This window comes from Homo sapiens, chromosome 8 (genome assembly GCF_000001405.40).
Source record: "Homo sapiens chromosome 8, GRCh38.p14 Primary Assembly".
NCBI classification, from domain to species: Eukaryota; Metazoa; Chordata; class Mammalia; order Primates; family Hominidae; genus Homo; species Homo sapiens.
The window spans coordinates 128951269-128977126 of NC_000008.11; the positions used below are offsets into that span (position 1 = coordinate 128951269).

The 25858-nt window shown below is 38.9% G+C and overlaps 1 long non-coding RNA gene across 1 annotated transcript, besides 3 other annotated features; it reads right to left on the reverse strand.

The window, feature by feature from the left end:
• Window positions 1-1610: 1610 nt before the first annotated feature.
• On the reverse strand, window positions 1611-14733 carry LINC00976 (long intergenic non-protein coding RNA 976). The gene is made up of 4 exons (NR_145483.1): window positions 14675-14733; window positions 13262-13302; window positions 4303-4395; window positions 1611-1949 (listed from the first exon to the last, which is right to left on the reverse strand). It is a non-coding gene; the product is annotated as a long intergenic non-protein coding RNA 976 (long non-coding RNA).
• Window positions 24093-24938: an enhancer, noted in NCBI's record as "OCT4-NANOG hESC enhancer chr8:129987607-129988452 (GRCh37/hg19 assembly coordinates)". NCBI's record gives its function as "activates a minimal SCP1, AML or CMV promoter by ChIP-STARR-seq in naive and primed H9 embryonic stem cells {active_cell/tissue: H9 hESC(naive and primed)}" and the evidence as "EXISTENCE:reporter gene assay evidence [ECO:0000049][PMID:30033119]".
• Window positions 24093-25067: a biological region, named in NCBI's record as "VISTA enhancer hs1877".
• Window positions 24291-25067: an enhancer, noted in NCBI's record as "VISTA enhancer hs1877". NCBI's record gives its function as "enhancer in: hindbrain (rhombencephalon)[5/9] | midbrain (mesencephalon)[5/9] | forebrain[5/9] | limb[5/9] | branchial arch[5/9] | eye[6/9] | nose[5/9]" and the evidence as "EXISTENCE:transgenic organism evidence [ECO:0001131][PMID:17130149]".

A 25858-nucleotide genomic window follows, 5' to 3' on the forward strand; every position in this document is an offset into this window, starting at 1 on the left:
TCCACTCCCCTGGAGCTCCAACACTAGACATGGCAGGGTGGGAGTGTCTCAAACAAGAAGAAATCAATGAGTCTATTCAATTATGAATAAATGAATACATTATGAGAAGAAGTAAGTCTAAGTGAGGGCAAAGTAATAAGAATGGCAGCAAATACTTCAGTTTGGGCATTCATGGGAGGGTGTTTGAGAGAGTGACATTTATACTGAGTTCTAATTGGTAAGGCATTGGTCGAACAAGGGAAAGCACACTCAAAGGCAGAACTAAGCTTGGCCTAAGAGAGGATCTTGATGAACTGGCATGAGAAGAGTGGTGTGATATTTGATCTGAGAGGTAGGCAGAGGTCATAGAATGTGTGCTTTGTTAATCAGAAGAAGGAATCTGGTGGGAAGCTACTAGAGGGGTGTGTGTCTGTTATGTTTGTCTTTTGTGCACACGTGTGAATGTGCTTTTATAAGCTCGGAGCTACAGTTTTGATTTTTTCTATTTTTTCGTATGTACAAAATGTATAAGAAATAATTTAATAACAATATATATGCCATTGCCCTTTAAGAAGAGAAATATTAAAAATAACCTATTTTATTTTCCTCATGATTCCATTACTATATTCTCTTCATCACTTTTTTGCTCCCATCATCTTTCCAAGACATAACCTCTAACATGAATTTGATGACTTTCATTACTCTTCCTGTCTTCATATTTTTAGAGCACATGTAAGCATCCTTGAATAATTACAATATTGTTTGGCAAATTTGTAACATTTACATATATAACATCATATTGAATGTTTTCTGCAACTTTTTTCTTCAATATTATATTTGTGAGATGTATCCATATTGATTTTGTTGTATGTAATGCAACAATTTTGTTTTCCATTCTATTGCAAATCAGTATTTTGATTTTTTTTTCAAAATGTTTACTATCACAAAACACTGCCACAATGAACATTCTGGTATGCCTTATTGTTTGAGAGGTAGTCTGAGGCAGTGATTCCCAATCTTTTTCAATATGCATAAAATATGCATAAACATAATAATTCAGATGAGACTGCTTAAGGCGAGAGACAGACCATGGGCTGAGGGGAGGAGTGCCTCAGCCCGCCAGTAATCCATTAAGATACACGGCATTAACATTCTTCCTCTGCCTGATCTATCAATTTCTGAGAAGGTTATGAAAAAAGTCTCCATTTATGAGTGTGGAATTATCAAATCAATTTTGTCAGTTTTTGCTTTGCATATTTTGTCCTTGTGATATTAGATTCATTGACATTTAGAATTTTTATATCTTTCTGGTGAATTACTCCACTTTATCACTAGGCTGTGATCCACTTTGTCATTGGAGGTTTTGTTAAGCAGGGAAGGCTATCATCTGAGTTATGCTTTAAAATGATTATCCTAATTGTCATATGGAGAATGGAGTGTAGGGACAAAAGAACAGAGAAGATGGTAATCAATTAGGAGGTTCCTGAAGCCAACTAGGAGAGAGAGGATGTCACCCAGGATGAGGATGGTTGTCCTAAACATGAGGAAGAAAAACACATGTTTGTGGTATGTTTTGAGTTGATGGGATTTTCTGATTAAACAGACGTGAGTGTAAAATAAAAGGAGGCATATTCAGGATAATACTTTGATATTTGGTTTGAGCAATTGACTGAAAGTTATGACAGTGTCCTCGTCTTCTGACACGTTAAGGTGTGGCACAGTATAATTTCCAAAAATGGCTGAAGTCATATGTCCATATTCTATCAGAACCCAGCCAGTCCCACAAGTAGAGTCTATGGTTCCCTCCCTTGAAGGAAGGGAGTCAGATCTCTGTGACTTCCTTAGCTAAGAGTAGGGAATGGTGTTCTATATGACTTCTGATGTTAGATCTTGCAGGTGGATACAGTTTCTCCCTGGTTCTCTCTTGGGATGATTCCCCTTGGAACCCAGGCGCCACGCTGTGAAGAGACCTAGACAACATGGAGATACTCATTTGGAGAAGAATGGAGATCCGTGGCCCTCAGCCCCAGGTGAGCTTCAGAGCCAGCACCAACTTACCAACCAAGTGATTGAGCCACCTTGGAAACTGACCATTCAGCCTCTATTTCAGCTGTCCACCTAAGGCTACATGAGGGAAGCACAAGCCTTTCCTGCTAACTTCTTCCCAAATTGCAGATTTGTTTTTTTAAAAAGAGGTGAAAAGATTTGGGGATAGTTATTGTTTTCTTAAGTCACCAACTCTTGGTTTTTTTTAATGCATCAATAGATAACTGGAACAAATACATGGAAGAATATCTTGCAGAAGAGGGTAGGACGTCGAAAGACAGCTCTCTTTTGGTTGTGTTGAGATTCATATTGACACTTTTTTAAATATTTTGAATGAACAATTAGACACAAATGTCAGACATTCATTGGAGGGATCAGAACTACAAATGACAATTTTGGAATCATTGATATATAGATAATATTTAAACCTACAGGGCTAGGTAAGTTTATTAAAAGAGATCGTGTTTATAAGGAGGAAAATAATGTCATTGATTCTAACATATAATTATTGCTTCATTGGGTCATTGATTTCTCTACTTATTCAACAAATATTCTAGGACATCCTAAATATATTATTAACTGTAAAGTGTGTTAAGCATGAATCTGCCTATATAGAGTTTATATTTATCAGGGTTACTTTGGACTTTGGTTTTATTTAAAATTAATTTTATATAATACATTTGGTACCTATAGACTTTCTTGAGTAATCATTCTAGTTTCCATACCATTTTTTTATTTTCTTTAATTTTATTATGACTAACAAGTTAGGCACAACAAACTACTTTTTAAAAAATTATTATTATACTTTAAGTTCTAGGGTACATGTGCACAATGTGCAGGTCTGATACATAGGTATGCATGTGCCATGCTGGTGTGCTGCACCCATCAACTCATCATTTACATTAGGTATTTCTCCTAATGCTATCCCTCCCCCAGACTCCCACCCCCGATAGGCCTCCGTGTGTGATGTTCCCCACCCTGTTTCCAAGTGATCTCCTTATTCAATTCCCACCTATAAGTGAGAACATGAGGTGTTTGGTTTTCTGTCCTTGTGATAATTTGCTGAGAATGATGATTTCCAGGTTCATCTATGTCCCTGCAAAGGACAGGAACTTATCCTTTTTTACAGTTGCATAGTATTCCATGGTGTATATGTGCCACATTTTATTAATCCAGTCTATCCTTGATGGACATTTGGGCTGGTTCCAAGTCTTTGCTATTGTGAATAGTACCACAGTAAACATACATGTGCATGTGTATTTATAGTAGCATGATTTATAATCCTTTGGGTATATACCCAGTAATGGGATTGCTGGGTCAAATGGTAATTCTAGTTCTAGATCCCTGAGGAATTGCCACACTGTCTTCCACAATGGTTGAACTAATTTAAACTCCCACCAACAGTGTAAAAGCATTTCTACTTCTCCACATCCTCTCCAGCATCTGTTGTTTCCTGACTTTTAATGATTGCCATTCTAACTGGCATGAGATGGTATCTCATTGTGGTTTTGATTTGCATTTCTCTGATGACCAGTGACAATGAGCATTTTTTCATGTGTCTGTTGGCTGCATAGATGTCTTCTTTTGAGAAGTGTCTGTTCATGTCCTTTGCCCACTTTTTCATGGGGTTGTTTGTTTTCTTTTCTTGTAAATTTGTTTGAGTTATTTGTAGATTCTGGATATTAGCCCTTTGTCAGATGGGTAGATTGCAAAAATTTTCTCCCATTCTGTAGGTTGCCTGTTCACTCTGATGGTAGTTTCTTTTGCTGTGCAAAAGCTCTTTAGTTTAATTAGATCCCATTTGTCTATTTTGGCTTTTGTTGCCATTGCTTTTGGTGTTTTAATCATGAAGTCCTTGCCCATGCCTATGTCCTGAATGGTATTGCCTAGGTTTTCTTCTAGGGCTTTTATGGTTTTAGGTCTGACATTTAAGTCTTTAATCCATCTTGAATTAATTTTTATATAAGGTGTAAGGAAGGGATCCAGTTTCAGCTTTCTACCTATGGCTAGCCAGTTTTCCCAGCACCATTTATTAAATAGGGAATCATTTCCCCATTTCTTGTTTTTGTCAGGTTTGTCAAAGATCAGATGGTTGTAGATGTGTGCTGTTATTTCTGAGGCCTCTGTTCTGCTCCGTTGGTCTATATACCTGAACAAACATTTTTATATAGAGAGGTCTTCATTTTATTTTTACACAAAGTGGTCTATATATCTTATACAAATCATGAGTTTCTCCACTAAATTCAGGATTAAGATTTTCTGGATGAATCTACTCACCTGAGGAATAAATTTTGCTTTTGAGTGATATGATATCAACCTGGTAGATGTTTATCTCGCAGTTTCATAGAGCTTAGGGCATCCTTGTCATTGCTAGAGGAGGGAGAATATGAGGAAGTTGGGGAACCAGAAACTTCCAAAGAGCATCTCCACTTCTAACTGTTTTATGCATTTATATTTCTCATGAGTGTTCTATTTAAAAACATAAAAATCATGGACTTTATTCAAACGTCCCCTTTCAATTAATAGTTGTGAACTCAAGTCCTATTTGAAAGGAATAAATTGAATAACATAGATAAAATTCCTCAGTAAGCTTGATTACTCCTATCTGATCTACTATCATTATTCTTTCTGACCTGGATGCAGCTTTTGGTTGTATGCCATGCACAGATATTTTATAACATAATTCAGTTTATCTTCAGATTTGGAAGACCCAACATTACTTTGAAGGATAAATGTTGGAAATGATAGGTGAAAATAGCCCCTGCTATACTTAAAGCCCTAGAAATTATTAGATAAGCAAACCCTAATTTGTCTTGTTTTAGCATTTGCCCTAATAGATAAATACACTAAATTTCATAATTTGACAATTATTTAATAAAATTTAACAGCAATTCTTTGGGTCTTTTAAAATGAAATTTACTTAGTGCTTATCATACAAAATTCTTCATGTGTAGTCTCTCAGTAGCTACCCCAAATTCACCTGTAAAATAGATATCAACCCTATTTTGCAAATGCAAAACCTGACTTTTGGTGAACATTAGAGCCATTACTAAACAAATGTAGGTACTGGCCAGGTGTGGGGGCTCACACCTGTAATCCCAGCACTTTGGGAGGCCTAGGCAGGCAGATGGATTGCTTGAACCCAGGAGTTCAGGGGAAATCCCACTTCTACAAAAATACAAAAATTAGCCAGACATGGTGGCAGGTGCCTGTAGTCCCAGCTACTTGGGAGGCTAAGGCAGGAGGATTGCTTGAGCCCTGGAGATGGAGGTTGCAGTGAGCCAAGATAGCATTACTGCACTCCAACCTGGGCAACAGAGTGAGACCCTGTCTCAAAAAAAAAAAAAAAAAAAAAAAAAAGGAGGTCCTTCTGGTTCCAGAGCCAAGACTCTCATCCACACAACCTCTCAGTCTATTGCTCTGCAGGAAACCTTGGAGTCTCAGCACCCTCATTCTGTTGGAAAGAAAACTGAGGCATTCACAGATGAAGAGATTTGTCTATATCTGGTAAACAGTTGACCCAGGATTCAAACTTAGTTGCATCTGGCTCCAAATCCAGGGCTTTTCCTACTCTCCTATCTCACCCCAGCCATTTTGTTTAAGCCTGGTCACTGTAAGGAGTTGTGTATTTTCTTTCCCAACAGTACTGCTGGCCTATAAAATAGGAGCTTCTACCCTTTTGCAAATACTGAGTTGATATTTTCTGCTCTTCTCTTTACCTCTGATGAATTTTCCTCCAAAAGAGAAATTAGAGATTTTAAAAACAGTCACTTTATGACTTCTCTTGGCTCTCTTTTATGGGATCTGGTTGCCTGCAGACAAGACACTCTCCTCCATAAGCTAAGCTGACCAGTGTAGACTACATTGTAGACCAATGTAGACATCAGTTTCATCAGAAAAACCCTGTAGTGTTACTACTGTGCCTGTGACTGGGCTGGTGAGTTTAATTCAGCAGAAAAGCAGAAGAAAGGTTTATTTTGAACCCAGTTCCAAAATACTCTAGTCTTACTTAGTAACAAGGCTATTTTTTCCTATATTATTTCTGTTTCTGTGTTTTAGATAATTCAATATGCAAAGAGAGAAAAGTAGCTCCAGTTGTAAAGTAAGGATCTGGGTGGCCATCACCTGCTCAGCATCCTTAGAAATGCATGTCTCTCAATATTTTGTAAAACCCATAGGAAACTCATTTTCAAGATGCTACCTCTCCCTTTTTATGTGTGTTGCAGCTTCTAAACCCTTTCTATATAGAAATTCTGGAGCTGCAACTGAAAGAAAGGGTTAATTATTTAGACTGCTCTAGAAGCTTCAATATAGATGATCATTTGGTTCCTGTAAAAACTCCAATAGTCATAGATTACTTTAACAAATTACATAAGTATCAGCTAGGATCAAGAGTTTCTTGACTTGTGGAACTAATTTTCATCTACAAAGCCACTGGTCAGTTCTGGAATTGACATAACCACCTGGATCTTAAATTAAGAAACCATGGTAACAAAGCTGCATATGCTAGAAAAAATTGTCAGGGATCTAAACAGGCACTGTGTCAATGCCACCACCACTCATTTTAATATCCGTGAAATGGTTGATGTCCTTCAAGCCCAACACAGTTCTTTCTAAGTTTCCTGAGCCTGAATGCATGTGCATGACCACTCCACTGCAAACATCCATCTGTCAAAGAGAAGATGAGGAGTAAGTGAAATTAGACCGTGGCTCTCTGGTTTCCCCTCAAAACTGCCAATGAATGAGAGCATCAGCTGCACCAGATTGGGCTCGCCAGGCCTCCCATCCTTTACTGAACACGCTCCACCCAAGCTGTGAGGCACATCCTGTGAATAGGGATGACTCAGCCTCAACAGGTGTCTGATGGCTTTGCCAACCAACCGCCTGTTTCAATGGATGGAAGCAGCAGCACATTCTTGGCGGCATGCAAAGACTGTGATGAATAGGATGCTGTGTCTCTTCACAGAGGGCAGGGATTGGGTTGGGGGCAGGTGTGAATGGCAGACCCAAGTGCATAAATGCATATTCTCAGTCCCAGTATGATGTCCTGCCAACTGGCACATCAGCAGCCTTTTGGTTTCTGAAACATCCATAGGTAGTTCTCTTCCATGGAACCTCTGAGTCAACATCATCTCTCAGTGAAACTATAGAAATACCTTACAAATTTTCTAAATTTTAACTTTTGAAGATACTTACATACCTATTACTGTATAAACAACTTTTTATGCTACAGAAGTGTTGATGTTATGATGTGTATCATATAGAGAAATAAACTAAAGTGCATACAAAGTGAATTTTCATAGGCACATAGTTTACCCAAGAAGGAACAGGGCAAAATCCAGCTCCCTTAATTCTCAGCCCTGTGTTTTTTCTAACACTCCTTATTGCTAAAATATACATGATTTACACTTAATTCTGAGAAACTCCTGGGAGAAAGTTAAATTGTATTGTTCTGAAATAGATGGGATTGGAGGGCCGTGAGTTCATTCATATATTTTTTCTAATATTCATCTACTTATTCAGTTATTGGTTGTAATTAAATAAAAAGGGATAAGGATAGTCTTGTACCCGTGCAAATAGATTATCATCCTGGGCTATTTATTATCCAAGGGCATCTCTTAGCCAGTACTGTGGAAATCACTTGATTCCATGGTGCCAAGATGATAACTATTAATATGATTATGTGAATTTTCCTCATCTTCAATTAATGGTGACTTCAACAAGACCTGAGTATTTTCCTTGTTCTTGCATATAAACCCTGTTAGATGATCCACAACTGCCTTGGTGACTTCACAGTCCCAGAATCCTTATATCTTTCTGCTCTACCATCCTCTACTCCCATCTTCCAACTTATGTTTTAAGCTGTTCAACTTTATTTTCAAGTTTATCATTCAATTCTATTAAAAATATTTACATTATATCTTACCTAAAGGAGAAAGGAGACAGAAAAAAAAATACTTCCTTTCCTTATAGATATTTCTTGGGAGTTACTTGTAGCAAATCTTACAATCTATTGGGTAGCACTTACCCAAATGACCAGATCTATCTTTTCAGGGAAGACTTAGAAATGAGGTCTATAATTTGGAAACCATAAGCCCAGCTAATGCTGGGGAGTTTTATAACTGAGGGAGGCTTGGACATTGGATTTTGGTGGACAACCAGCAGTGACCATCTCATACAGCATGAAAGCTCAGCATTTGTGAAATAAAATGGAAACTATAAGTCTGGGAAACATAGGCAGAAATAGCTAATGAACGGCATTTCAAAAAACAAGAATAGTAAAGCTAATTTTTACTGAGTGCTTTCAAAGTAAATGCTCTGTTGGTTTTCAACCTGACTGTGTTAGTTTATTTTCATACTGCCATAATGAACTGCCCAAGACTGGGTAATTTATAAAGGAAAGAGGTTTAATTGAGTCACGGTTCAGCATGACTGGGGAGGCCTCAGGAAACTTAGAATCATGGCAGAAGGTGAAGGGGAAGCAAGGCACTTACTTCTTCACAAGGCGACAGGAAGGAAAAGTGCTGAGTGAAGCAGGAAGCACCCGTTATAAAACTATAAGAACTCCTGAGAACTCGCTCACTATTATGAGAACAGCATGGTGGAAACTGCTCCATCAATGAATTGCTGCCACCTGGTCTCTCCCTTGACATGTGAGGATTATAGGGATTACAATTCAAGATGAGATTTGGATGGGGATACAAAGCCTAACCATATCACTAACTCTCATGCATAAAGGCCCTGTGAGATAGCTACTGTTTCCATAGCAATTTTACAGGTAAGGAAACTAAGATACAAGCAAGTTGAGTCAATTGCCTAAGGTTTCACAGCTAGAAAATTACAGTTAGAATTCATGTCAATGTCATTTGATCCCCAAACTTCTATTAACTATTGCCTCGCAGTTGTTCCCACATGATCACATTTTAGCCTCTCATTGAAGAGACTTCATATGATTTGTGTTTTATGGATAAAAACACTAGTGATGAAGAAACATGTTTGTGCTCACACAGACAAGTGGCCCAAAGGAAGTTTTGAACCAACTTTTTCCCACTATGCCAAAGTATATATAGATTTATGTATTAACAACCCTAAAATCAATTTATAAAAGAACAGCAATAATTAAGGAGGAGAGAGAGAAAATGGCTGCACAGGGTCCTTTATTTGACCATTTCTCAATGCAATGATGGTTTTCATCACCTTCATTATATTTGAACAGAGCTCAATGGGTAAATCAATATGTTGCTGACATGCCTGGAGTAGATCAATTGTTTTTGATTTGATTGATTATTCAATTACGGAGCCATGAGTTTGATTGACCTTGTGAAACTGGGTAAAAAAAAAAAAATTCCTTGGGACCACCTAAGCATTCTGGCAGTATTTAAAGTGTGTTTCTCAATGATGCATGAGGAGAAACACAAAAAACATGTCTGAGGTAGGATTAGGGAGGATTATGGGCAATTTGGAAAGATAAGAGCTTATAGAGGAGTTACAACACAACACCAACTTGGCTGTAGCATTTAAATTGTTTTCAAATTTCAACTAACACTAGTTGGCTGTGACAGTATTTTCTGCTTTTAAACGATGTCATGGATATAAAAATATGAGAAACACCGGTTGATAACGCTGATAAAATTTGGCTTTGCTATTTGGTGGCTGTAGACTCAAAGCTCTTGCCGTGATACCATAGTGCCTCTCAGTAAATCAAATCATGCACATATTCACTATTGCTTCCCACAACAAGACTAAAAGAAAACTTGATTCTGAGTGAAACTGGAGCATTTTACAAAGTGATCATCTTTTTGAAAGATAGTGAATAAAAATTACTACACCTCGCTGAGTACCAGTGGTGTGTATTGCATTTGAGATAATATTGTCTCTTTTGATTGTCTGAACAACCATATAGTGTAAGTGTTATAATCCCCCATTTTTTTCAGATAAGCACCTGGGGCTTTAGAGGCATTGCCTAATCTCACAAAACTTTTCACAAGTTAACACTTTTTCTCAAGGTCTCTCCAGGATAAGGACAAACAGTCTCTTTTTTGATATTCTGGGACTGACAATTCAAAAAGGAAATTAAGTAGCACTGAACCAGAGACAGTAATACAAACTGCAGAATAAGGGGATATAAGTACAAAAAAAACCACTATACCTTCAAGATGTTTATTTTTGGAGTCATTGTAACTTTTATAATCTTTAAAAATTACATATGTGATGGTTTGGTACATGGGTGTGGCAATGGGCTAGAGCCTGTCATAGAAAACAAATGTTTCTCTGACAAATATTTCCAGATAGGATGTTTGCAACAAAAGTTACGTATTTATAATGTACTGATTGCAAATTAGTCTATTCACTTTTTTAACTCACTAACAAAAATCCGGCTAGTAATACAAGCTAGCTTCCTCTGTCTTTATTGGCATGTGTTTGTGCATTTCAATTCAATTCAGTAGGCTCTGTCAAACACCTATTATGTGCTAGGTCCTGCCTTTTGTAGATGGGATTTGATCTCTTACTTCATGGGGCTTGCAGGAGTAATATTACCCGTTGTTGTTGTTGTTTATAATATTGATGTTGAAAATGTTACTTTTATTTTTTTCATAGTCAACTAATCCATATTAATCACAGACAATAATACAAAATAAAGTTAAGCCCAATGAAAACACACATACAGAATCCCATCATCTAAGATCTTCATTATCAGCTTGTCGATAAATAAGAGCAACCACATACATTTATCAAGTGCTTATTAATGCCTAAATCAGTTTTCCAACCTCAGCACCAGTGATATTTTTGACCAGACAATTCTTTGGTGGGGTAGCTGTTCTGTGTACGGTAGGACATGTAAGAGGATTCCTGATTTCTACCCACTAAATGCCAATAGCATCACCACCTCTCACCTCCAGCTGTAACAACCAAAAAATATCTCTAGACATGCCAAGTGTCCCCTGGGGACTAAAATCACCCTAGCTGAGAGCCACACTGGGCCAAAATGTAACAAATGCGGCATTTCATTATAACAGCATCAGGAGATAACTATTATTGTTACCTTATTTAACAGCCAAGGAAACTGCTGATCAGAAACACTAAATAACCTGGGCTGATCTCTTCAGCATTTAAAGGGAAGAACGAAGATTTAAACATAGCTGTGACTGTCCACAAGTCTCACTCTCTCTCTTCCCCATCCCCATTTCTCTCTTCACCTCCCTCTCCCTGACCCTCGCTCTCTTTTAGAAGAATGAAATAATAATAAAACATATTATCATGAAACCTGTCTTTCTTGCTGTTTAACAAAATATAATGTGTGTCTTTCCCTGTAGGTATATATAGATCTAAATCACTATTTTATATTATTTTATTTTAGTTTTTTGAGACAGGGTCTCGCTTTGTCGCCCAGGCTGGAGTGCAGTGGCACCATCTTGGCTCACTGCAACCTGTGCCTCCTGGGCTCAAGCGATTCTCCTGCTTCAGCTTCCCAAGAAGCTGGGTTACAAGCTTGCACCATCACACATGGCTCAGTTTTGTATTTTTAGTAGAGTGGGAGTTTCACCATGTTGGCCAGGCTGGTCTCAAAACTCCTGAGCTCAAGTGATCCACCCGCCGTGGCTTCCCAAAGTGCTGGGATTATAGGCGTAAGCCACCGCGCCCAGCCTTAAACCATTATTTTAAATGATGATCCAACATTCACATATAAGGATGTCCATTATTAATTTAGCTAATTCTTCATTGTTGAACATTTGTCATTTCTTGTTTTCAGTATTACAAGCAACACTCCAAAAAGCATCCTTCTACCTTTATCTGTGCATACTGAATTTTTAAAAATGTTCCATTAATTGGAATTTCAGCAAGAAATTTAATCCAAAGGTGACATTTCTGAGAGAGAATTGTGGTAATACTAATGCTTATGCCAGAACAGATAACAGCCATAAACTGGATTATCCCAGGAAACTCTTATGTATTTTTATCCAAGTTTCAGTCACTTTTCCAAAATTAGCACACATTAGCATAATAATTTTTTGTTATTTAGATTTGTTTTCTTTTTCCAAGAAGATCACAAAGTTTTCTATAAATTCATCAGATCTTCCCAAGAAACAGAACAATTTCTGCTCAAATAAAGAGTGTGAGAATCTAAACTATAATTTTCAGACTCCAGGCACACAGTTATCTCATAATCGAATACTGCTTCCTATCAGAAGTATCCAGTGTTTCTGTCTGAGACTGGCTGATTTTACATAATCTATTTACCTTTCACAGTTTCCTCAATTTGTTGGAACACAGAACTACATTTCTACTTTTCATAATCATTTATTCTATTCAATAATGATTGAATATTCCATGCCAGGCAGCATGCCAGACACTGAAGGTACAAATATGTTCAACATTCATCAGCTCTTAGCAGTATGTATATAATATAGAGACTTTTGAAACATAAAACATTGTTTTCCAGTTCTTATACCAGTCTGTTTACCCAGGACCTCAGTTCTCTGAGCTTTTGTGCCTCCATTGCTCTTCTTCATGGAATGTCCTATCTGTCTATGCTATACCTACTATTGTCTATCTGAAGGACAACATCTCTTTATTCAAAATCTAGGGTTAAGTATTGTCTTTTTGGTGAAGACTTCAGTGTCCCCTAAGCACTACATTTCTGTGCTCTAACTTGGGCAATATCTCCATTAAGGCACTTTTCATTGCTTTTGCAATTATTTACTTACTTGTCTTCCTTGAGAAGCAGACACAGTAATCTTTATCTTTGTGTCTTAAAAGCCTAGGTGTTTAGCACATGATAGGTACTAAATAAACTCTCACTGAATAAATGAAGGGAGGAAAAGAAGGGCAATGTGTAAGTATTCTTGGTCTTGCTCTTACAATGTGCGAAGTTTCCCCAGGGGCCAGGGAAGAGATTGTAATTCATCCAGAAGTTATAGGGCCCATACTATTAATAAGAGAACTCGCCTGATGGTAGCAGCTTCCCTGTTTTTCTCCTGGAGAGTTACTAAATCCTAATGCCCCAGGGGGAATACAGAGGAATGCAATTCTATCCAAAGACATAAACTGGAAAATTAAAAGTGAGCATGAAAGCCGAAAACAATCTCCCTGCTGGTCATCAAACAAGTTCTAGACAGTTCTAGGCTTCCAAACGGGTCTATTTGAATAATTCCTGAGAAGCCAAGTAATCTTGTGTGGTTAATAGAAAAAGAGCAAGCAGAAACCAGGTAAGCAAATGCTGATCAAAAAGCCTCACCTTCACACTGCTGTGCTCATCGCCTTCCTTGTTGATTTTACCTACAAGAATGAAAGAATCTCAAGAGTCAGGACCATGCAATTGATTTCTTTTTATAACCTCAGTGTTTTTCCCAGTGCCTGATATAGAGTAGGTCCCTATTTCATGGTTGTTGAGTTGCAGGGCAGCCTCCATTTCCCCACAGGAATTTTTCATAGACACACAGGAACTGAAGCAAAATCTACCTTGGGTACTCTAGATGCTTTCAAGAGAGAAAGGCCTGGCCGGGCGCGGTGGCTCACGCCTGTAATCTCAGCACTTTGGGAGGCTCAGACGGGCGGATCACGAGGTCAGGAGATCGAGACCATCCTACTAACACGGTGAAACCCCGTCTCTACTAAAAATACAAAAAATTAGCCGGCCTGGTGGCGGGCACCTGTAGTCCCAGCTACTTGGGAGGCTGAGGTGGGAGAATGGCGTGAACCCGGGAGGGGAGCTTGCAGTGAGTCTAGATCGCGCCACTGCACTCCAGCCTGGGTGACAGAGCGAGACTCCGTCTCAAAAAAAAAAAAAAAAAAAAAAAAAAGGCCCTACCTGCAGTCATCTTAGACTTTTGAAAAATGACCTAGTTCCAGCAGTGGACTGGAACGACCTCATATTGACTTGTTAAGAGCCACTTGTTACATTAATTTCAAGGAATTTTGTGAGCTGCTTCCAAAAACCTGGCAGTTTGAAATTGGCATGGAGAGGGCATTTACACCACAGAAACTGGCAAACACTACAGATCAGAGTCTTCCCCTCCCCTTCCCAGAAAGCCATATTCCCATCACACCACTTTCTAGTTCTAAGTCTTGGGATCTAGCTTTTGTTTTTAAATAACCCTCTACTGGATTCAGACCCTTAGTAGCTTCAGCTAAAAACAATCTTTACTTATACAGGTAATGACTAACAGTACAGGGAAAGAGAAAAGAAATACATTTATGTCTAAAATTAGGTTTAATATAGTGCCTCTTAATGACATTTTTCAAATTAAAAGTTACAGGTATAGAACGTATACTTTGAACTAAGAATTGATTCTTAGGATAAGTTTTTTTAGTAGTCTGAGCTCCGATGCCCACATCTGCAGTTGAGGCTGAATAACTAATTACCACAAGTGGTAAACAAAATAATGTACAAAAGATTAATAACAACAATTTCTTGACATGTACCACATAAGCACTTTGAACAGATGTTGTTTCAGCCCTCAACTCCTTAACTGAAGTTCATAGAGATAGCTTTATTTTGAATTCAGAGGTCTTAGATTTTCAGAAAGATAATGTATTAGTCTGTTCTCATGCTGCTATAAGGACATACCTAAGACTGGGTAATTTATAAAGGAAAGAGGTTTAATTGACTCACAGTTCCACTGTGCTGGAGAGGACTCAGGAAACTTACAATCATGGTGGAAGGGGAAGCAAACACGTCTTTCTTCACATGTTGGCAGCAAGAAGCGCACAGCAAAACGGGGAACAGCCCCTTATAAAACCACCAGCTATCATGAGACCTTATTCACTATCATGAGAACAGCAGCATAGGGGCAACCACCCCCATGATTCAATTACCTCCCACTAGGTCACTCTCATGACACGTGGGGATTATGGGAACTAAAAATCAAGATGAGATTTGGATGGGGATATAGCCAAACCATATCAGGTAATATAATTTACATATCATATGTAGATGAGGTGTGTGTGTGTGTGCGTGTGTGTGTATGTGTGTGTGTGTTAACTATCTAAGAAGGGTCTTGAGTAGCTCTCTGTAACCAAACATATTAACTCCTCTGCAGTGAAATGCATGAAGATACACCTCAAACAAGGCTAAGAGTCAAAATAGTCTCAAGTGAATTCAGGTCAGACTTAGTCATCAAACGAATCTGCATGGAATTGCAAAAAGATTTAACAGTTTTTAGAGCCACTTATAATTTGAATTGTGATTGGGGATTTCTGTCTGTATTGTCAATATTGTTAATTGGATATGTCCAGTGGGATTGTTTTATAACCAATATTTTCTGGTAAATTCTAACTTCAGAGCCCAACATATTCTCCCTTAAATCATCAACATGTTTTAGATACTTTAGTTTTATCTCCCATCCTGGCTTTCACATCTTGAAGTGATATAAATATTCTTTGTGGGATTCAGGAAACAAAAACAGTCACTCAGTAGAAATCATCTTTATCTCCTAAAGAGCCGCTGCTGTAAAACACATCACCAGCCTTTGCCATAGGGTATTTGGAAAAGCTATCACCAGCCTAAACTCTCTCATGAGAAATTCCTCTTCCCTTTCAGATATTTTCTCTTCAAGGAACAGGTCTTTACCATTATGGGTTCCCCACATCCTCCAAAAATGTATAAAAGTATGGGTCTGAATTTATATTTCATTTGCTCCACAAGTTGAGATAACTTTTTTGCTACATGTTTTGATGACAGAATGTTTCAATGCTAGTCATGAACTTAAATAAACAATCCTTTCACTAAAGAGACAGCAACCCAAATTTCTACAGTCTAACTCTGTGAAGCATGACATTCTATTTTATGGTTTCCTAACAGGATAATGGCTTGGCCATTTCTAGAGTGGACATGATTATATTTGCTGATTGGGTTTGTTAAAAATGCACTCAAATTTGACCTCTGCTAACATGAACATAAAGTACATTGCAGACATTAATGATTCCAGATAGTCTACCCATTAGGACATTAAGAAACAGATCTGATTAAAAAGACATGTAATCTGTACCTTACAGGCAAACTCATTCATACTTCTTTGGATTAACCAAATGTTAAGGACTACAGACATTAAGCTCTTCTGGGAAGACAGCTTTCTCTTCTATTTCTCTATAGTAATAACTAGAACAGTAAGGGCAAAATGAAAGCTGAGTATCTAACCAGTATTTCTACATGGACTATTTTTGCTCTCTATTGATGTGCCAGGCACTTAGCTAGGCACTTTACACATTCCTCTTTTTAATTGGTTTGATGACTCTTATATCTATTATTAGTTTTTACATAAATGAGGAAACTTTGAGGCTTAGCTCTTTTAAAAAGGAAATCCCTAAAAGTTAGTGTTTATTGACATGGATTAGTAAGAGCAAAAGGGAATAGCACTTGATTAGCACTTGCTATGTTCCAGACATTTAATAGAGATGGTTTCAATTGATGTTCAAAGCAGTTCAGAAAAAAAGATATACTTATTTGACAGGCAAGTAACCTGAGTTTAGAGAGATTAAGTCAACCAAGATCACAAATGTAATAAATGGCAAAGATCAGATTCAAACCCTTGAGTCTGACTCCAGAGCCCAGTGCTTTCTATTATGTAAATCTGTCTGCCAGTCAGGTACCAAGCCAGGTACAGTGGGCAATTAATAATCTCTACCTTCCAGTAGCTTATGATCTATGTTGGGAAACAATTTGTGTACATGTGACTAACATTGGAGGGAAGACGGGGTCACTTACAGAATGTTCAAAATGTGTATTTGAGACTTCTGGAGAGAGATGTTTCTCCCCATTTATTTCCATTTTCAGGGAGACCAGGTGAAATAATGCTTCTGGCTCTCTCTACCTTCTTACATCTGATTGGTGAGCTTGGAAGGAAAAACTGGGCAAGTGTAGCCCAGGCCAGTAGTCTTTTTCTCTTCAGGATGCTACCTGCCCATGGAGAGCCTTATCATGCACCTCCATCCTGTGGTTTTTACCCACCATTGCCTATGAGTAGGCTGGTCTGGGTAAATTTAATCCTAAAGCGCAGAGTTTGTATGTTCACTTGCTCACAAATAACAGGCCCATTCTCCAAAGGTGATATTTTAGACTTATATCTGCTTAACTCTCTTGTCTTAATGTCCTTAATTTGACATTAGAAGCACTAATTATTGGGTTCCCTTGATTCCAACAGAGACCATAAAAGTCACAGAAGCCACAAAAAAATAAGTTCAACATTGAATAAAGTAATTGGAAAAAGCTTCATGGAAATTGAGAACTCCGAATTGAACCTTGATAAATGAAGTGATATAGAGAAACACATGGTCTTTGCATTCCACAACATAGCAAAGCATAGCCCCTCATCAGAAAAAAAAAGAACACGGCTCTGTGGTGGTATTGGTACAGTCATGCTTTTAAATGTTGGCTCGGATATGGCAATTCTGTTATGCGTGTCAGAAATGTGTCTCCCTTTCCTAATCTGTAAAATTAAATAATTCAGTCTTTCAAAAGAAACGCTGCATATGCAGCATATTTTATATGCATATATGGCATATTTTATATGCATATACCGCATATTTTATATTTAAAATAATGCACATAAACATAAAAATGTATTTTTTATAGACACAAATAAACTTCCTAGATGAACAGTACCTCATGAACTATTCTCCTTTTCCAACATAGCCTCCTTTTTATCATAACATTTTTATTTTAGGAGAGTTTAACAATTACAAAACAATTTGCCGACATTGCTGAGTGTTCCCTGATACCCCTCACCTAGTTTCCCCCACTATAAATATTTTACCTCACCATGACACACTTGTTCAAACTAAGAAATTGACATTGGTACATCGCTCTGAACTAAACTCCACGCTTTATATGAATTTTTTCTTTAACGTCATCTCTCTGTCCAAGGATCCAATCCAGGGTGCCATATTACATTTAGTTGTCATGTTTCTCCATTCTCCTGTAGTCTGTAGAGGTTTCTCAGTCTCTCCTTGGTTTTCATGACCTTGTTAGTCTTCCTTCTTTTGAAGAGTCAGTACATCATATCACAAGTGGAGAGCTTGGAGTTAGACTAAGACATTCATTATGATTCTGTCAAGTATGATTCATGTGACCAAAAAAAAAAAAAAAAAGTGACTTAACTCATCTTGGCCTTCACCTCCTCAGCTGTGAAATAGGAACAATAATATTAAGTTGGTGCAAAAGTAATTACGGTTTCTTGCCATTACTTTCGATGCCAAAAGCCTCAATTATTTTTACACCAACCTAATACCTACCATACAGAGTTGTTATAAGGATGCAAAACACTGAAATACTCTAGAGAAACTAAACTAATGGAATATATGTAAAGAGAGAGAGAAGAGAGATTTACTATAAGGAACAGGCTCATGCACATATGGAGTCTGGCAAGTCCCAAAATGTGTAAGGTAAGTCAGCAAGCTGGAGACCCAGGGGAGCTTATCAGAATCAAGTCCCAGGAAGAGCCAATGTTAAGTTCAAGTCTGAAGGCAAGAAAAAAAAAAGCCAATTGTCCCAGTTCAAAGACAGTCAGGCAGGGAGATTCCGCTATTACTTGGGGATGGGTCAGTCTCTTTGTTCTATTCGGGACTTCAACTGATTGGACAAGGCCCACCCACATTGGAGAGGAATATCGGTTTCACTTAGCAGTTTGATTTAAATGTTAGTTTTATCCAAAACACCCTCACAGAAATGCCCAGAATAATGTTTGATCAAATATCTATGCACGTTGTGGCCCAGTCAAGTTGACATGTAAAATTAACCATCACACTAAGCAAAAAGCCCCATGTCCACAGGGCATTCCGGAAACAGTAGCTATTATAATTATTATGTTTAGATGACTGTCAAAAGGCACTCAGGGGTTTTCTGTCCATGAATCCATCTCCAGTCACAGGAAGAAGACTTTGGACACTGTTGAACAGGCTGCCATTTTCAAAAAAGAGCAGAAATCATCATTATAGGGGGAAAAATAAGGAAAGAACAACCCCTAAGTAAGCAAAATGTAAAAGATACCAAGAGTTAAGAGCCAGGGCTTGCGTCCTATCTGATGTCTCAGAGGGTGAGGAGGCAATGAACAGGGCTGCAGCTGACCTTTTCTACCCGCTGGCTGGGTGGTCCACGCACATTTCTGCTCCCTGAGTTTGTCTTCCTCATCTCTAAACCTCCCCTCCTCCAGCTGGGCGCAATTTGAGCATTGTTGCTCACCTTCACGTAGCACCTATCGTGTCATACTCTATTTATTCTCCACAGTTTGGTCACTTCTGTCAGTATCCTTGGTCTCTACTCTAGCACAAGGCATTGTCCTCTCTGATTTGAACCACATTAACCCACCCACATCTGTCTGACTACTTCCACTCTTGCCCCTTCTGATCTTTTCTTTATGCTGCTAACAAAGTAATCCTCTCAAACTCTAAATATCATTTCCCAAGCCCTTACCACCGTTATGGTTTCCCACTGATCTTGACATAAAGAGCAACATTCTTGGCAGGGCTTCGAAGCTTTCTTCAGGCTTCTCTTTCTCTGCTGTTCTTATTCCTCCCTGAATCTCAGTCACACTGGCCTCCTTTCGTCTCTTTCTGACTCCAGAATCTTTATCCAGTCTGTTCCCTCTGCCTGGAATATCTTTCCTGACCCATAATCTCTTGGACAACTGATTTTCACTCATTCTTCATGTCTTAGGCCAAATGTCACTTCCTAAGAAAGCCTTTCTTGATCCTTAAGACTAGGTGAGGGCCTTGTTTCCATCATAGATTTACCACAGCTTGTCATTTCAGAGGTGTACGTATTTGCATGAATATTTTAAAATGTCTTCGTCATTTGTCTGTGGAGCCATGAGCAAAAGGGGTCCACACTTTATTATGGTATCTCTATCATCTGGCACCGTGCCAGTCACATAGTAAATGCCAAATGAATATATATTGAATGAATAAATGAATGAAAAAGTGAATGAACTAATCTCTTCCCTCCCCCTTGGATACTGGGGACCATGCCTTCATTATTATGTGCCTAGCACTTAGTGAAGTATCTGAAACTTAATGGGATGTTTCTATAAATGTGTATTAAAAGAAGGTACTTCCTAAGCAGTTGTACTGAGTGACCTTCAAGTTTCACCCAAACAATACGTTTCTGTGACACTGAGTCTCTGGCTCCCACTTCTCTTGATAACAGGGAATTGTCTATGTTATGTCATGACTCTGTAGCATCTATTTATGATTAAACCAAAACACAAAACTCTGGACAAAGCCTTTCCATTTTCAGTAGAGTTGAAAACACTTGCTGCATCTAAACTCTGTCCACCACCCTCCCCATCATTTGTCATTCCTGCTAATCAAGGACATATTTCTACTGACTTCATTGGGGCCTCTGGTGCTCTCTGAGCTACTAAGATAAGAGAGAGTCCGTGCTTGGATAGTTTGGAAAAAATGAGGACAGAGGGATTGTGAAATGTTAATTGAAATAAAGCATGTGCGAAGGGAGGTAGGGTCACACGTGGAAGGAAGAGTCACTAGACAGATTTTTGTCCTGGGGTATTTTATAGGTGGTGTGCTCATAGGCTGTAATCGTCAGGGTGTAATCTTCTTTCCAGAAAGAACCCAGTCAGTACCGACATGGAGAAGTCAGCTGTTAGTCTTCTGATTTAATTCCCTTTCAATGCACCATGCTGGGGGAGAGCTTTCTCTAGAAATAAAACTGTCCCGTGGAAGAAGACGGAGAGAGAATTCAGAAATCCTGAGGACAAAGAGAATACTCCCTCATCCAGCTGCTGATCTGAAAAACAGGGCAGCCTTTAAAAAATTGTTTTCACTTGGAAACTATATCAACTCTGCCTAGTGTCTCTGCATAATTAAAACCTGCTGTTTGCATGGCTTTTCAAAGATTTTAAAGAGACTCTCACATATATTTTCTTCAGCAAATTCCCATAATACCATGATGCTGACATTACTACTCTCACTTAATCCAACTATTGTAAGAAATAGGATAAGGGACTTGGCCAAACTTGGGTTGCTACTAAGTGGAGGAGATGGGAGTAGAACTCAGATATGCTGCTGTAAACCCCAATATTTTATTTTTTTTATTTTTCCCCTGTCACTCCACCTTCACTGCTTGCCCATGATGTGATCATGTGACTGAATCAGATGTGCTCAGGAAACCCAATGCTTCCTTCTAAGACCTCTAATTATGTTCTTGGAATGAATGAGAGTAATGTTCCTACATGAGTTGAGATCTGAGGACTGAGTGGGTGTCAAGGTTCACTTCTGAGAGCAATGCTGATCACATTCCCCTCCTTCATCCTTCCTGCCACTCTCTTCATTTCAGCCTCCTGAATGTGGCATCGGGAAGTCTGAAAACATCTCCTAATTAGTCTTCCAGCCTCTGGTTTTGCCTCCCTGATCTCTGCCAACCCAGCTATGCCCTATTGAGGCCAGAGTGACATTTCTGAAATGCAAATTTGGATGGCGTCATTTCTCATCTTAAAATTCTTTGTTGGTTTCTCATTACCTCCAGGATAAAGTGCAAACTCCTCAGCAGGGCAATTACGGTGTTCATAACTGGACAAGTCCCTACATTTTTCCTTCATTTACTGCACTGACACTTACTGATGACCTGTGGATCTGGTGGATAGCAGTGAGAAAATGGACATGACGGGGTCCTGTCCTCAAAGCCCTCCCAGTCTGGAAAAGGGTTTCATATATCCTGGATTTTCTATTCTTGCCACCGTGCAGTCTCTGTTGTCTCCTAGAATATCTTTTCTTTTCTGCAGAACCCCCACGCAGCCCTAAAACTGCCAAACACCAGCCATCCCAATTTTCTGCATCCTGAATCCATCCTATAAGGTAAACGTAAGTTGTTATTTTCTTGACTCTGACAACCCTTTTACAACTCTCAAGAGGTTAGTTTGTTCCACTTACTTTACCTTAATTAGAGCATACCTCACCTGGAATAACAATTATTTGTGCAAATGTTGTGTCTCTAAAGCCACCTTGAGCACCTTGATGGTGGACATGCCACCTTCATCTATTCCCAGTGCCTAGTACAGAGCAAGGCACCAGCTGCAAAATACTTAGCTCCTTAAGAACACAGCCTCGCTTTTTGCATCATGAATCAGGCATTGTTCTGGCTGCACTGGCTGCAAATCCGCCCCTCCCAACCTCCAAATTTTCTCTTCAGTCTTCTCTTGCAGTCTGACTCTTGGGGTTATGTTCCAGAACAATCTGTGGCCATCTGTCCTTCCTCATTCTTTGGAGGCAGTCTTTCCATGGAAGGGTGACTTTGCTCTGTGGAGTATAGCTGGCACCCAGCCAGCCTACCACCAGGCCCACAGTTATTACTCAAGAACAGCTGTTGCTTCTGGAAGATGACAAGAACTTCTTGTTAAAAACTACTGGGAGTACACAACTACTACCCTTCATAATACAGATGCATTCCTTAATTTTTAAAGCTCCTGTCAATTAGTAAAATGTAATTGTTTTTTATAAATTTTAACTAATATCTTCCACAGTACACTGAAGACGTCTTAGAACAGGAGTTATGTTTCCTGCATATTTATATTTTTAGCCTCTGGCAGACACTTTGTCTGTAGTTATTGCTCAATAAAAATGTTGTAAGAATGCATGAATAATAACAATGTAGCATTTATTTACTGAGAGTATATTATATGCAGAGTAGTAAGTCAAATGCTTTGCATCTATATGTTCTCATTTAATCTGTAAAATAACCCTGTGAAGCAGTTATTATATTCACTTTACAGATGAGAAACCTAAGGCTCAGAAAGCTTGAGTAAATTTGCCATGTTCACACATCTGGAAAAGAGATACAGTTGAGTTCCAAAATGGATCTGTGACGCTGCAAATTTCCATGCTTTTATGCTCTATGTTGTGCTTAAGAGGCCGGGAGCTCCATGCATGAAAAATGGCCCAGACTCAGTTTCCCTGTTCTGAAGTCTACCACCAACTAATTCAGGTAGGGGTCAAACTGACCTGGTTTGTACAAGACTGGCGAGTTTTCTGGAATGGGGGGCTTTCAGTGCTAAAACAAGGAAAGTCCAAGGCATACATGGATAAGCTGGTCACCCCAAATTTAGGGCTAATAAGATAGCACTAAAATGCTCAAGATAAAATTCATTTGATCACTTGCTTTATACCAAAGAAAGTGTAGTGTATAGTTTGTGTGTGTGTGTGTGTGTGTGTGTGTGTGTGTGTGTACAAGCACATTATCATATTGTTAGGCGGAAATGGGACATATTTTCGTGTGTCATTTATTTAAACTCCAAAAGAGCAGCTGGCCTAGACCAGAGCAGAAGCAGCTTCGTTTCTAAGCTGAAATTTAGGTATTCATCCTTGTGTGTTGTAGGATGGGAAAATCACAAGCAAAGATACAGGCATGTTCTTTAACTCACTGCACAGATACATCCAGAATCTCATGCTCCCCAAACTAGGCATGTCCTCCACAATCTACACCCCCAGTACAGGCCCTGCCAGAGGTATAAATATTCATGTAGTCACACATTCATGACTTATACATATTAAATCATTACACATAATCATAAATATGCATATCCAAGCTTTGTTGGATTCATACATTATTTGCACCCTTTCACAGTGGCACACAAAGACATCAAAAGGACCATACACACCCATGTATACACACTTTTAACAGATACTACGTGCATGATGTGATTTATCATTCATGGTCACACAAAACAACACATGCAAAGCAAAATATGTCACCACAGAGACATCCATTGATACATATGTGCATACACACTTTCAGAATACTCAACTGCACATGCTCATCTGCACGGAGCAGACCTTTCCCCACTGTGTTATCCTTACTTCCAGAAGCATTTATGTGAACACTAACATACCCTCCCAAATCCGTATATTTAGTCACACTCAGAGGTGTAAGATCTACACAGATTCAGATTCACACATTTACCTCTGTACATTTGTGTATTACCCCTTCTCTTTTTACTGACTTACATCTATACACACTTGTATCAATGTGCGCACGCACACATACACACACAAACACAAAGAATATACCCTAGGCAAGCTCTTGGATTATTGACAAGGCGGGGTATAAAGTAATAAATAAATAAATATAGCAGTAACAAATAAATAAATACATGCAGACACTGAGGTACACATGTATTTAAACTCTATCTTGGATATATCCATGTATATTGACATACATGCATTGTCTACTTAGGTTCTTTCAATTGGATATGTATTCACCAGATGCACAGACACAAAGAATTCTGGGTCAATCATTTGTTTATATTCCTCACACTGCCCCAAATACCAGAGAGAGCTGGTGGGCCTGTTGCTTTCTCTTTATGTCATCTTCAAGGAAAAGAGGATGTTTATGCCTAGACCACTTGCAAATGATGCTTTGTAAGGCACCACTGCCAGTGAGGTCCCCAGAATTAGCAAGGTTCAGGGGGAAACTGGCCAGGGAGGAATGTTTTTCTACTTAGCCAAAAAGATTCGGCTCCTTTGAACACAGACTTTCTGCTCAGATGTCCTAATGCATTCCACATTTGGCCATTAAATCCTAATTGGAGGCCTGCTGGGGAAGGATGGGAGCCCAGCCTGCCAGCATTTCCTGGGTCACATCCCTGCAAGACCCAGCCTGGCCCCCTGCCCTTGTATGACCTGCCCTTTTGAACTCTTAATCCTACCCCTGGTCACAAAGAATTAGGAGCTCAGTTTACTCCTGAAACCCCAGGAATGTCTCCTTTGGTCTTCCTCTTCTCATCTGTTACCTCTACTCCCCACCCACCTTTCACCCATCCGCACACACACGTACACACTTTGTTTTCCTTTCCTCCTCCTTGGTAAGAGGCAAGATGCTTTGTGGAAGCTTAATGGAAAAACTCCAAAAAACCCGAGCCTTTTATGATAAAACAATTGTCCTTGGTAAATGTCAGGCCTTGTATTTGATGATATTTATGACCTTTTTCTCTATTAGTCTGCCATTTTCCTGAGAAATCATGACCCTGGCTGTGTCAGCCTAGCCACACTAGTTTTATAAATAGTAAATGTATGTGCATGAGAAGGAACTCTCCCTCCACAGCCAAAATGACTATCACATCAGATTCAGAGTATATCCCACTAGGTATCAATGAGCAATTAGAGAGATGAGATGAAGATAAAATAACCTTGAAATGATCACTTTAGAAATCCTGGATGATTCTGGAATTAGAGCTAGTCTTAGCTCTGCCACTTGCTGGGTACGCTACTTTGTACAGGTTGTGGTGCATCTTGGATCTGCAGTATTTTTATCTAGAAAAGAAGAAGAATAATAATACCTTTCTTCTAGAAGTGTTGCTGTAAGAATCAAACAAATGAGCTCTGAAGAAAGTCTTTTGAACAATTGAAACATTAATCAAATATCACTAGATTTAAATGATAAAGGGACCCCCTCTTCATTGATAGGAACTTCAAAGTGAACTAAGACATGGGAATAATGATTGCCCTGAAATCTGCTAAAAACTATTTATCATGGCCAATGGCTACAAAATACAGTAAGATAAATTTGAGTTCTAGCTAATAAATAATTTCCTAAGGTTCAGAACTGTAAGAGGATGAAGAGGGGTTCCTTGGAGACAGTGCTTCCCCTATCCTTTGGGCAATTGCCTGCTGCCCTCTGAGAATATCAGTCTCTGGCTTCCTTCTGCTGCTGCAAGAAGTCAATCCTACTTTCTCACAGATGAACTCTGCTGTGGAAAAAAAGACTTCTTCAGTTACTGAGCCAACCCGGAGAAGTTCAGGACATAAGTCAGTAGCTACCAATGTCCCTGCCCAGGAGGGCTTTGAATTAAAGCACAAGGCTAGACCTGGATCCTGAAGCTGCCATCAT